Source organism: Homo sapiens, chromosome 11 (assembly GCF_000001405.40).
Source record: "Homo sapiens chromosome 11, GRCh38.p14 Primary Assembly".
Taxonomy (NCBI): Eukaryota; Metazoa; Chordata; class Mammalia; order Primates; family Hominidae; genus Homo; species Homo sapiens.
This window is the reverse complement of record NC_000011.10, coordinates 19,241,830-19,255,570: the sequence shown is the minus strand read 5'-3', so window position 1 is coordinate 19,255,570 and position 13,741 is coordinate 19,241,830. Positions and strand designations below refer to the sequence as shown.

General features: G+C 43.3%; 1 long non-coding RNA gene across 3 annotated transcripts in view, besides 3 other annotated features; it reads right to left on the bottom strand.

Annotated features, from left to right (window-relative positions):
• The window catches only part of CSRP3-AS1 (CSRP3 and E2F8 antisense RNA 1), a 116,546-nt gene that overhangs the window by 57,688 nt on the left and 45,117 nt on the right, over positions 1-13,741 (bottom strand). For 2 of the 3 annotated variants that reach the window (NR_183675.1, NR_183672.1), the window contains exon 2: positions 3,280-3,326. This is a non-coding gene — a long non-coding RNA (CSRP3 and E2F8 antisense RNA 1). Of the gene's footprint in view, positions 1-259; positions 3,151-3,279; positions 3,327-13,741 lie in introns of those variants that run through there. The other variant, NR_183673.1, reaches the window with a different exon arrangement.
• Positions 12,280-12,849: an enhancer, noted in NCBI's record as "H3K27ac-H3K4me1 hESC enhancer chr11:19264269-19264838 (GRCh37/hg19 assembly coordinates)". NCBI's record gives its function as "activates a minimal SCP1, AML or CMV promoter by ChIP-STARR-seq in naive H9 embryonic stem cells {active_cell/tissue: H9 hESC(naive)}" and the evidence as "EXISTENCE:reporter gene assay evidence [ECO:0000049][PMID:30033119]".
• Positions 12,850-13,421: an enhancer, noted in NCBI's record as "H3K27ac-H3K4me1 hESC enhancer chr11:19263697-19264268 (GRCh37/hg19 assembly coordinates)". NCBI's record gives its function as "activates a minimal SCP1, AML or CMV promoter by ChIP-STARR-seq in naive H9 embryonic stem cells {active_cell/tissue: H9 hESC(naive)}" and the evidence as "EXISTENCE:reporter gene assay evidence [ECO:0000049][PMID:30033119]".
• Positions 13,627-13,736: an enhancer, noted in NCBI's record as "active region_4515". NCBI's record gives its function as "activates an Ori minimal core promoter by ATAC-STARR-seq in GM12878 lymphoblastoid cells {active_cell/tissue: GM12878}" and the evidence as "EXISTENCE:reporter gene assay evidence [ECO:0000049][PMID:35858748]".

The window sequence follows — 13,741 nt, the reverse complement described above, 5'->3', positions numbered from 1 at the left end:
GTAAACCTATTAGCCTGCCAGGACCTTCTAGGTAGAGGAAAAAGAGTGCTGGAAAGCTACCTACAGCGGGAGTCTAGGTCCTGGAGGCAGATTGCTCAGATTTGAATCCTGGGTCAATCACTAATTCTTTGACCAGCTCAGCTCACCATGCCTTCGCTTCTTCATCTCTATAATGGAGACACAATATCATCTACCTCTTAGGGTTATTGCGAGAATTAAATTATTACTTTGAATAGCACTAAGAATACTGTCTGACACATGGGAAACAATAAATGATTTATTTCTTATTATTTGCTTTTCACTGTTCATTAGTTTACATGCAACAAAGGGACCACTACATATAAGGCACTATGCTAATGACCACAGTGGGGGATACACACACATGGGTTCCATCATCACATTGGTATATAGGGAGGAAATGTTGGCACTCAAATAATTACAGTGAAGCAACATATGAGAAGTACTGTTTAAGTGTTTCAAAGTGTTCAAGGTGGGGGGATCATTCCTGCAAGGTGACTGGAGAAAGCTTCATTAAAGACAGGCCACTTCAGGCAGACCATGATGAGATTTTTAGCAGAGGGGAGGTTGGGTGGGAAGGTCACATTCTAGGTAGAAGATACCTCATGAGCAAAGATGCTGAAGTCAGAAAATCCCAGGCAACATCAAGTTATTGCAGGAAGTGATGGGCAAGGCTGGAAAGGAGTTGATATGTTTTGACTGTGTCCCCACCCAAATCTCATCTTGAATTGTAACTCCCACAATTCCTATAATTCCCATATGTCATGGGAGGAACTGGTGGGAGGTGATTGAATCATGGGGATGGGTCTTTCCCATGCTGTTCTCATGATAGTGAATGGGTCTCACAAGATCTGATGGTTTTAAAAATGGGAGTTTCTCTGCACAAACTGTTTTGCCTGCTGCCATCCATGTAAGACATGACTTGCTCCTCCTTGCCTTCCACTGTGATTGTGAGGTCTCCCCAGCCATATGGAACCATAAGTCCAACAAACCTCTTTCTTTCGTAAATTGCCCAGTCTCAAGTCTGTCTTTATCAGCAGCGTGAAAAAGAACGAATGTAGAAGCTTTGAGGTCTACCTGGGGGGACTGGGGGCTGTGTCAGGTCAAGCACTGAGTCTTGACTTTATCTCATGAGTCCCTGGGATATTTTTAATGAAATAGGACAAAGCAGTGTTAAAGGAAGATGAGTCTGGCAGGGTTAGTGGAAAAGATGGAAAAGGGAAAGACTGGTGAGAAAGGGAGCTGCCAGCTACGGCAGTGCCCCAGGTGTGTGGCAACAAGGGTAAGAATGAAAAGGCAGGGGTGCAAGGGGGGACACTGGGCCAAAGTGTCAAGACTCAGTGACGGAGTGGAGGTACAGAGCAAGAACAGGGAAGAGGAGGAGAGGATGGTGAGGGTTTGAACTCGAGCAGCAGGGACAGAAAAGAAGTCATACTCGTCCTCCAGAGGTTCTGATTCCTGGTTACCCAGCACTTTATCCAGATAGGATCTCTGCAACAAGAGGCAGCACAGGGCAGGATTTCCCAACACAGGCTTGAGAGTCAGACAGCTCAGGGTTTCCTGCTAAGCTGTGTTATCTTCACCAAGTTTTAACCAGAGCTTCCATTTCCTCTTTTGCCAAAGGGGGATTGAAGACAACATACCTCAGGGATGTTGTGAAGATTAAATGAGATCATGTGATGATGAAGCACCTGCACATGGGGAAAATCCTGGGGCAGGGAAGAGGCCAGTGCCCCAGAATGTAGAATATCAGAAAAGACGAAAAAATAAAAATGAAAAATATTTTGCATTAAAATTCTTCTGAACAGGGGTTGTTCACGTTTTAATGATTCAGAAGCTCTCTGTGAATCTTGCAGCACCACCAGCGCCTCCAGCATACTATCACTATACTGAGGCCTCACAGAAGCGCTAGCTGGCACATATTCGAGTCAGAATAAAGATAAACCAGCTCATCACATTGATCTGGAGCCAGAAAGAAGGAGAGCAGTGATCAACAATCCCAGATCCTGCTGATGGGCTCAGCCTGTGAATTTTGGTAAATTTCTCCCATGTTTTCATCAAAGATCCCAACAGTTTTCTTCTCCTCCCCTTCCAGCAATGCTAGCTTCCACATGCCTTTCCCAATTTCCTGTGACGAAGGTTGTAGAGACCATCCCAGGGGCTGCTGACCAGTCAGCTGGTGTGCGTGGACTTCAAAGGCCTATTGACACAGCTGTACACCACTGGGCCAGGGGCCAGCGGCAGGCCTGCCTGAAATGCTTTATCCACACCTTGACAGCAATACAGCCCTCCCCAAGAGGACCAATAAACCATCTCAGCTCTTGGATCACTGTTATTTAGTCAACAAAAATTCAACATACAAATGCAAACTGGTTCTACCAAGTGGGCCACTGGAGTTTGGAAATTATAACCTGAATCTCTGCCTGATCCGTTTTCTGCCACTGCAGAACTCTGCTCACAGCTGATGTCTTATTATGGACAAAATTGTCTTTCAGCCAAGCTGCTGTTACTTTTCAAAAATACCCAGATCATTCTGAGATAATCCTTATGGGTACAGAGAGACAAAAAGAAAGCAAGCTGTGAAGCAGGGGATTAACCCCAGTCCATCACACTTCAAAGCCTGTGCTTTTTCCAGTTTTCAAGGAAAGCTCGGCATCAGCATAGACTTGTACGATGTCGGGAGATTTAAGTAATCAAGTCTACACTCCCCATGTTACAGGGGAGACGAGTGCAGCTCAGAGGAGTTCAGTGACTTGTCCAAGATCGCACAGCAAGTGACATCTCCTACTATGAAAACCAATAAGCTAGCAAGAGATTTGATCATATTAATAAGACTATGTCCTTATAATCAAATAGCAATTAACATTTTCAAACAATATTTTTACACTTGTAGCCTCAGCTGGTCCCATACCATCAATGAAGTGTTTATGCCATAGATATTACCAGCCCATTTCACAGAGGAGGAAACTGAGGCTCAGAGAGGTAAGTGGTTTCCGTAAAGTTGCAGAGCTAGTAGGTGTCAGAGTCGGGAACTAGAGCTGGAGTCTTCAGATTCTAAGACAGTTGGCAAGTGGTAACCAAATCCAATTCTATGCCTGGGCCTGTACTTCAAGCAATTAAGAAATCTCTGTGCTGGGAGCAAAGAGACAGGAAAGTGAAGCACAAGAGAGGTGATATTTACTAATAGAGCCAATAAACTAGATACAAAACCTTAAATTATGATGCATTGACTAATTCTAGTAATAGATAAGAACATGTTACCTTAACGTATTTTTCCTCTTCAACATGTCTTTCTCAAGCCATTTCTCCTTTAAAAAAAAAAAAAAAAAAAAAGATAAAGCAGGCTTCTAGTTGTAAGGATTCCAAAGACACTGGGGCATTTGCTGAGCTGAGTACTGAACATAGCTGCACCTGCAGTAGGGGCAGTGGGAGGTCGGGGAAGGGGGTGGAGGACACAGATTCTGCTGCTTAGAAGAAACAATTTCCTCGCGAAAGGTTCTTACACACAATCTAACTATTGGAAATCTCTACGAAGTGATTGAGAAAGCAAAAATAAACACAAAGGCAGATACGCATTTCTCTGGATTGGTTTGGATTATATTATATATAACATATGATAATAATAGCTATTAAGTACTTGCCATGTGCTAAACATTGTGCAAGTACTTTGCATCTATTATCTCATGTAATCCTCATGACAGCCCATGAAGATGTATATTTTAATCCCAATTTTAGGGAGTGGGGGGAAAGGAGGTTCAGAGAGGTTAAGTCATTTGCCTAAGGATGCACAGCTATAATGAGATGGCCTTTGAACCAACCAAGGTCTGTTTCACCACAAAGTCCTAATTTTCATCCACATCTTATCCTATCTCAAGGAAAGATTACAGACTAGAAGATACTTCTCTGTCCTCCAGACCCTGATTTCTTTAAAAGCAGCCATCTTAGGCCAGGAGTGGTAGCTCACACCTGTAATCCCAGCACTTTAGGAGGCCCAGGCAGGAGAACTGCTTGAGACCAGGAGTTCAAGGCTGCAGTGAGCTATAATCACGCCACTGCACTCCAGCCTGGGTAAAAGGGCAAGACCTTGTCTCTAAAAATAAAAAAAAGGAGAAATAATTTAAAAGTAATGCCATTTTGTATTCTTCAAATCAACTTTAAAACAATTTTAAATTGTCATCTCAAAGATTGAATCTGTAACAAAGCTTAACACTATTTTATCTATTTTTTTAAATAAAAATGCTTGTTCCAATTTTTAATTTTTTTTTCAACTTTCATTTTAGATTCAGGGGATACATGTGCAAGTGTGTTACCTGGGTATATTGCAGGATGCCGAGGTTTGGAGTATGAATGACCCCATCACCCAGGTAGTGGGTATAGTACCCAACTGTTTATTTTTCAGCCTTCAGCCTTTGTCCCCCTTCCTCCCTCCTCCCATTAGTAGTCCCCAGTTTCTACTGTTGCCATGTTTATGTCCATGAATACCCAAAGTTTAGCTCCCACTTGTAAGCGAGAACATGTGGTATTTAGTTTTCTGTTCCTACCGTAATTCACTTAGGACAGTGGCCTACAGCTGCACCCATGTTGCTTCAAAGGACATGATTTCATTCTTTCTTATGGCTGTGTAGTATTCCATGGTATGTATGTACCACATTTTCTTTATCCAATCTACCGCTGATGGGCACCTAGGTTGATTCCATGTCTTTGCTATTCTGAATAGTGCTTTGATGAACATGAAAGTACATGTGTCTTTTTGGTAGAACAATTTGTTTTCTCTTGGATATATACCCGGTAATGGGATTTCTAGGTCGAATGGTAGTTCTGAGTTCTTTGAGAAATCTCCAAACTGATATCCGCAGTGACTGAACTAATTTACATTCCCACCAACAATGTATAAGCATTCCCTTTCCTCCACAGCCTCAACAACATCTGTTGTTTTTTAACGTTTTAATAACAGCCATTCAGACTGGTGTGAGATGGTATCTTATCGTGGTTTTGATTTGCATTTCTCCATTTAGTGATGTGGAGCATTTTTTCATATGTTTGTTGGCTGCTTGTATGTCTTCTTTTGAGATGTGTTCATGTCTTTTGTCCATTTTTTAATGGGGTTGATTTTTGCTTGTTCAATTATTTAAGTTCTTTATAGATTCTGGGTATTAGACCTTTGCTGGATGCATAATTTACCATTTTTTTCCCATTCTCTAGGTTGTCTGTTTACTCTGTTGATAGTTTCTGTTGTTGTGCAGGAGCTCTTTAGTTTAATTAGGTCTCACTTGTCAATGTTTTTATTGCAATTGCTTTTGAGGACTTAGTCATAAATTCTTTCCTAAGGCTGATGTCCAGAGTGGTGTTCCCTAGGTTTTCTTCTAGGATTCTTAGTTTGAGGTCTTACATTTAAATCTTTAATCCAACTTGAGTTAATTTTTATATATCTTGAAAGGCAGGGATTCAGTTTCATCCTTCTGCATATGGCTATCCAGCTATCCCAGCACCATTTATTGAATAGGGAGTCCTTTCCTCATTGCTTATTTTTGTCAACTTTGTTAAAGATTAGATGCCTGTAGGTGTGTGGCTTTACTTCTGGGTTCTCTATTCTGTTCTATTGGTCTATGTGTATGTTTTTGTACCAGTATCATGCTGTTTGGGTTACTGTAGCTTTATAACATAGTTTGAAGTTGGGTAATGTGATGTCTCTGGCTTTGTTCTTTTTTCTTAAGATCGCTTTGGCTATTTGGGGTCTTTATTGGTTCTGTATGAATTGTAGAATTTTTTTCCAATTCTGTGAAAAATGATGTTGGTAGTTTGATATGAATATCATTGAATCTGTAGATTGCTTGGGGCAGTATGGCCATTTTAATGATACTTATTCTTCCAAGTCATGAACATGGAATGTTTTCATTTGTTTGTGTCATCTCTGATTTCTTGAGCAGTGTTTTGTAGTTCTCCTTATAGGGATTCTTTCACCTCCTTGGTTAGATGTATTCCTAGGGGTGTGTGTGTGTGTCTATTGTAAATGGGATTGAGTTCTTTATTTCGCTCTCAGCTTGAATGCTATTGGTATATAGAAATGCTACTGATTTTTGTACATTGATTTTGTATCCTAAAACTTTACTGTTTACAGTTCCAGGAGCCTTTTGGCAGAGTCTTTAGGGTTTTCTAGGTATAGAATCATATAGTCCACGAAGAGATGGTTTGAGTTATTATTTTCCTATTCAGATGCCTTTTATTTCTTTCTCTTGCCTGATTGTTCTGGCGAGCACTTCTAGTACTATGTTGAATAGGAGTGGTGAGAGTGGGCATGGCATCCTTGTCTTGTTCCAGTTCTCAAGAAGAATGCTTCCAGTTTTCATGATGTTGGCTATGGGTTTGTCATAGATGGCTCTTATTATTTTTATGTATGTTCCTTCGAGGCCTAGCTTCTTGATGGTTTTTATCATGAAGGGATGTTGGATTTATCAAAAGCTTTTTCTGTGTCTATTGAGATAATCACATGACTTTTGCTTTTAATTCTTCGTATGTGGTGAGTCACATTTATTGATTTGTATATGTTGAACCAATCTTGCATCCCAGGAATGAAGTCTACTTGTTCATGGTGAATCAACTTTTTGCTGTGCTGTTGAATTCAGTTTGCTAGTATTTTGTTGAGAATTTTTGCATCTATGTTCATCAGGGATATTTGCCTGTAGTTCTCTTTTTTTGTTGTATCTTTACCAGGTTTTGGTATCAGAGTGATGCTGGCTTTGTAGAATGAGTTAGGGAAGAGTCCCTCCACCTTGATTTTAGGAATAGTTTCAGTAGAACTGGTACCAACTCTTCTTTGTATGTCTGGTAGAATTAGGCTGTGAATCCATCTGGTCCAGGATTTTTATGATTGGTAGGATTTTTTATTACTAATTCAATTTTGGAACTAAATATTGATCTGGTCAGTGTTTCAATTCCTTCCTGATTCAACCTTGGGAGACTGTGTATTTCCAGGAATTTATCCATTTCCTGTAGATTTTCTAGTTTGTGTGCATAGAGGTATATTCACAGTAGTCTCTGAGGATCTTTTGTATTTATGTGAGATCAGGCATAGCGTCACCTTTGTTGTTTCTGATTGTGCTTATTTGGATCTTCTTTCTTTGTTAATCTAGCTAGTGGTCTACTGATCTTGTTTATCCTTTCAAATAACCAACTTGGTTTTTGTTAATTCTTTGTATGGATTTGGGGCCTCAATTTCATTCAGTTCCACTTTGATTTTAATTATTTCTCTTCTTCTGCTAACTTTGAGATTCATTTGTTCTTATTTTTCTGGTTCTTCTAGGTGTGACATTAGATCATTAATTTGAGATCTTTCTAACTTTTTGAGGTAGGCACTCAGTGCTGTAACCTTTCTTCTTAACAGTGCTTTTGCTGCAACCCAGAGATTTTGGTATGTTGTATCTCTGTTTTCATGTATTTCCAAGAGATTTTTAAATTTCTGCCATAATTTCGTTGTTTACCCAAAACTCATTCAGGACTAAGTCGTTTAATTTCCATGTTATTGTGTGGTTTCTGAAAGATCATCTTGGTATTGATTTTTATTTTTATTCTGCTGTGGCTGAGAGTATGGCTGGTATGGTTTTGATTTTTTTTTTTTTAATTTATGGAGACTCGCTTTATGGCCGAGCATATAATCAATCATGGACTATGTTCCATGTTAGCACTATCGTAAAAGAGTATATAGAACTATATATTTTGCGGGCAAACTCAAATGCAATTCATTAATAACTATAACCACACGTGGATTAATATACTCTAGTCAATTTCCATATTGATAACTGTTGTGAGCTTTTATTAAGCTTTTTTTTTTTTTTTTTGAGATGGAGTCTCACTCTGTCGCCCAGGCTGGAGTGCAGTGGCACAATCTTGGCTCACTGCAACCTCTGCCTCCCAGGTTCACACCATTCTCCTGCCTCAGCCTCCCAAGTAGCTGGGACTACAGGCACCCACCACCACGCCCTGCTAATTTTTTGTGTTTTTAGTGGAGACGGGGTTTCACCGTGTTAGCCAGGATGGTCTCAATCTCCTGACCTCGTGATCTGCCCACCTCTGCTTCCCAAAGTGCTGGGATTACAGGCGTGAGCCACTACACCCAGTCTAAACATTTTTGATTAAGGCTTAGAGGAGAGCTATCTAATTCTTTTGGAAAATAAGTTGTTTTGTCAACAAAATTAATCTGTGTAGGTCCTATTCTGTCTCTGTATTGTACAATAAAGCAGTTCAATGAGCAATAAAACTCTACCATAATATATCTGGATATCATGAAGCATATTAGGTCAAATCATATCCTGAAAACCGTAACTTTAAGGGGTATTCATTAGTGCCAAGAAGTTGGAAGAAATCAGGCAGATTTCAGATTTCAGGGAGGAGTGGATTATTAGAATGTTTGGTGACTGTTTAGAACCTTATATGGGGGATGCCCCCAGCCTGACACAGCTGATCAAGAGCCTGCTCTGTCTTCTCAGTGCCTGAATTCACAATGACTGAGGGCCACTGAGGTGTAAGGAACCCACTTATGCCAACTTCAGTATCATTCCAAGAGAAACAGGGCATCCTCCCGTGACTAAGAGGCCACAATCTTGAAGAACTCAGAGAAGCAGACAATTTGTCCAGATGCAGTCCACATCTCTGCAGAAGAGGGAGAAAGAGAGAGGGGGAGTGGGAGTAAGTGAAGAGTTGGCTTTGTTGCTGGGATCCCAAGGGCAGCCAACATGTCCTGTAGCTGGTGCCTAGCTGAGTCCCTAGGCTTGGAGCAAGTGATCCATACATATGGGATGAAAGGAGAAGAGAAGAAAACTTGGGTTCCTAGGGAAGAAAAATATCTACAGAAACTTTTAAAAAGTACTATAGAGATAGAACATTTATTTTTAAAAAAAAAATAAAAAAGGCATATTTGTTGAATTGAGGAATGGCGAGAAATCTCACACAGGAAAAAAAAAATACAATAAAAGCTAACACTTTGCACCAGACACTTTCTACTGCTTGAATATAAACTCCAAAAGGGCAAGGACTTTATCTCTTTCACTCACTGTGTATACCTAGCACCTAATTCAGGGTTTAGGGGCATAGTATAGCACTCAGTATACTATTTTTCAGTGAGTAAATAAATAAAACCGAAGAACCTAGCTAAAGTAAAAAACCTGACATTTAAAAGGGAGTGGTAATTACGAGCTCATTTTCCTAGCATTATGGAACACCAAGTGTGTGCCAGGCATTGAACTCAGTACTGAAGATAAAGAGATTAAAAGACAAGGTATCATCTGAGGTTGGTGGGATAACATTCCAGAGTAGAATTTTACTCCATCAACCAACACCTATCAAGCCCCTGCTCTGGGTCCGGCACTTTGCTGGGCACTGGAAAGACCAAGAGATGAAGAAGTCCCTCTCCCTGCCTTAAGGAGCGCACAGTGGTGTAGGTGGGAAGCATCCATAACAGAGGTGCCTATATAGGGGTATGATCAAGAACAGGATGTGAATAAATCTGCCTGGAGGGGATCAGCACAGTTACCTTTCACTACCAGCTTTAAGCAAAGAGCAGCAATCATTGATTGATCAGGAAGGTTATAGGATTCCTGCATTGAATGGGACTTTTGTTTTTTTTTTTTTTTTAAGACAGAGTCTTGCTTAATGGCCCATGCTGGAGTGCAGTGGTGCAATCTTGGCTCACTGCAACCTCCACCACCCGGGTTCAAGCAATTCTCCTGCCTCAGCCTCCCAAGTAGCCGGAATTACAGGCCCCACCAGCACGCCCAGCTAATTTTTGTATTTTTAGTACAGACGGTGTTTCACCATGTGGCCAGGCTGGTCTCAAACTCTTGACCTCAAGTGATCCACCCGCCTTGGCCTCCCAAAGGGCTGGGATTATAAGCATGAGCCACAGCGCCTGGCTCCAGTAGGACTATATTTTAGGTAATAAATTCCTGAACCCTACTCCTAGGAATCTCTACATATACTTCTTTAATGTCCTAGAACCTGGAAAAGCAGGTTTTTCCAACCCACTGATAAGCACTGGATTACATGACATTATGACAATTTTAAGATTCCATGCGCAATAATAAAATGAGAACAGAACTCAGACTCCAGCTTCGCATGAGGACTCTCAGAAAAATTTGTGTTCTATTATCCCCAAAGTATTTTTAAAATTTAGAAGCTGGCTGGGCGCAGTGGCTCATGCCTGTAATCCTAGCACTTTGGGAGGCTGAGGTGGCCAGATCATGAGGTCAGGAGTTCGCGACCAGCCTGGCCAATATGGTGAAACCCCATCTCTACTAAAAATACAAAAATTAGCTGGGCGTGGTGGCGCGCACCTGTAGTCCCAGTTACTTGAGAGACTGAGGCAGGAGAATTGCTTGAACCCAGGAGGCAGAGGTTGCAGTGAGCCGAGATCACACCACTGCACTCCAGCCTGGGTGACAGAACAAGACTCTGTCTCAAAAAAAAACAACAAAAAAAGAAATTAGAAGCAGTAATTGCTCAATAAATGGCAGCAACTGTTGCTGCTGCAGCTGAGTCCAGGGCTGCAAATGTCTATATGGGGCTCATCAGGATACATCAGGGCCTATCAGGAATTTCCCACAGGAGGTCACAGGAGAGTCTGAAGGGATTTCACACACAGCCCTGCTGCTGCCTGGGACTTACTCTGACCTAGTCTAGCTCCACAGTCAGCACAAGCCAGCTCCAGGCATGCCCACTTCCTGGGTCCCTTGCTTGTATCCATCCTCTTTAACCCTGCCCAGACTAGACCCAGCATGATTCATTTGTAGGCTTAGTACAAGGACCAGGAATAGCTGAGATCTAGCTGTGAGCAGCCACAATCCAACCCAGCACATAGGGATTTGTGCAGTTTTAAGCTCCAGAGAGCTGTTTCGTGGTATCTATGCCAACACGTACTGCAGATAAAGCACAAACCCAAATTGCCCCACTAGGTCAGGAAGCAGAGTTGGTGATATAAGCACCTAGGAGGTGGGGCAGCAAGACAGACAGAAAAGGTCAAGAAACCCATTAGCTAGAACTCCTTCCTTAGCCCTTCATCCTTCCCTGCTCAGCAGGGGAAGGTCTTGCCTGTCTTTTTGGTGATGATGAAAAGGGACACGCTTCAGAAATCCCAAATGTTACCTTTGAATGTAGGCGCCCCGGTGATGCCTATCTTTCCTCCTTACCTTTGATATCTTTTTTCATAATACTTTATTTAATGCTGAACGTGTTACACAACGTATCAGCCCTCCAAGTTGTGCAATCCAGAAGGGCGACAGCACAGAGTAGAAAAACTGGTCTAACTTCAGTGAGACACAGATTACACAACATGATGAACAAAAGACCAGAAACAAATACACAAATATTCCCTTGGATTATGTAACTAATAAGTGGAAAACATATTTGATGGGAAAATTAAAAAAAAAAAAAAGTTTCAAGCTTATGCCCTGATCCTTCCTTCTTGGTTATGCAGTAAACATAAAAGTTTTCAGTAGTCTTTTCCCTCCTTTACACTCATGCTGCATTTCAAATTGATACTCTACACAGTGATGAGTAGAACCTTTCTTTCTTTATTACCTTTCATTACATGAAAGTGTTGTTAAGACTTCAAAACTGTATCACTTCACTCTTAATAAAACCACTTTTCAACATATTCAATGAGTTTGACTATAATTTCACTTCCTTCAGTAAGACATGACAACTATCAGTAAGCAAGAATTACACTCTCACCTTCCTGTTTTTTTGTGTGTTTAGGGAGGGGTTGAAATGGTTAAGGGCTAGCCTGAGTTGGCACTAACATTGCTCTCACAGGAACTTTCAGAGGCAGTGGAATGGGATGTATGAACTTGGAGCAGGTAGACCTGGATTCTAATTCTGGCTCTGTAGCTAACTTGGCCATCAGTTTAACCCTTTTGTGCCTCAGTTTTCTTCTCTATAAAATGGGACACAACTATCCTATGAAGCAAGTAAGGATGAGCACGCCGCACAGTGGTGAACACAGCTTTCAGTGGAAAGCCCTGAGACGTTAAACACCCTTGGCTTCAAATCCCAGTCCTGTCCCTTACAGTTAGACCTTGGGTTTGTCACTTTAAAATGCTGCTTCCCTCTCAGAGTCATAACCCATGCTTTCACACCTGTGCTGAGTATGAAATGAGAGGCCATCTGTCAAGTGTCACCAGAGGTGGCTGCTCCCTGCATGATGTGCCTTACAGGTAACTGTCACTCAGACATCTGCAGCATGAATGGCCCTGTAGATCACAGATTTGAACGAATTAGTCACTATCTCTGAACACAGGTGCATGAGGCAGACTGCTTCTAAAGAACTTTAAAAGGGATTTATGGCCCACAGGACTCCGGGGCTGTAATAACTTCGGGTACATTAGGCATAGCTGAATCTATGCACTCTTGGGAGCGCTGACCATTCAGGGGGTTGGGGGAGATGACAATCTGGCCAACAGCTAGTGGCTAAAGCAGAAGCACCAACTCCCCACTTTTTGTTGATACATTTAGAACCCAGTCTTGCTCCAAAAAAGGGGTACCTGGGCTTAGTAAGAACCAGCCGCTCAGTGCTAGCAACGGTGGAACCCTATATAGTGACCTCTGCTTTATTTCAAATCTGCGAGCCACAGGCAGTGGCCCCTCTGCACAGTACCTGAAAGGCCTGCTTTCAGGTCGAAGCGCCTTCTTGAGCAAGACCTGCACCTCAGCTGGCGACGAAAGGGGGACAGGGACACGACGGCGCCAACATTCCAGGGCGGCCACACCGCAAGCCTGCGGTCGCGTTCCGCGGGGAGATGAGCCTTCGCTCGCCACGGAGACCCCTGGCCCTATGGCCGGCAGCTGCTGCGCTGCGACCCCAGCCTCAATATCATAGCATCCCCGCCCTCATCGCGTTTCGCAGAAAATAAAAATGCCTCGCCCTGCTAGTCAGCAATGGGAGAGTCACTGATCCCCAAGTTAGCGGTGGGAGTGGGGAAGTGTGGCCCCGGGCCCTGCTGGAGCCTAAAGACACGCGATTACAGAGGAGGACGAGCCAAACCGAGTCCAGATCGAGAGACCGGCGCCCAGATCTCGGCGCGGTTGGGCAACACTCAGCACCAGTCCGCAGAAAAGTCTAAGGCAGAGGAGAGCAAAGGGAGCCAACGCGGGCGCAAATGATCCAGGTGCAGCCGAGGCAGCGCCGCCGCCCCGGGCCTCGGTGTCCCGTTCTGCAAAGTGAGGACGAAGGATCGAAGTGTCTCCCCGACCCTGCTAGGGCTCTACAGGGAACCAGGCTAAAGCTGCCTGAGGCTCGGAGACCGGAAAAAGAGGGAAAGACAACAGGGAAGAGAAAGGGAGGAGTGGGTGGGAGACCCTGAGGAAAGACGGCGAGGACAGGGTTGGAGGGTTTTCCGCCTTCCTCCTCTTCCTCCTACACCTGAGTTCTCACCGCTGGGCCAAGGCCCAGAGCCCACGGAGCTTAGGCACCAGTAGCCAAGCTTCTCCCTCCTCGCGCCAGTTTCTGCGAGGCACGGGGCAGACGGTGGGCAGCACAATCATGCATGCCAGGGGTGCAAGGGGGAGAGGTCCGGCTGGAGTCCGAGGGCAGGTGAGCCGGCCTGGGGCTGGGCAGGGGTGAGATAGCCCCAAGCGGGGAATCGCAGGGCGCCTGCGGCCCAGCCCGCGAGCCCCGGACGGGCCAAATTTTATTCCCCAACTTTGAGCAAGGGGAGGGGGTGTATGCAAAAAAAAA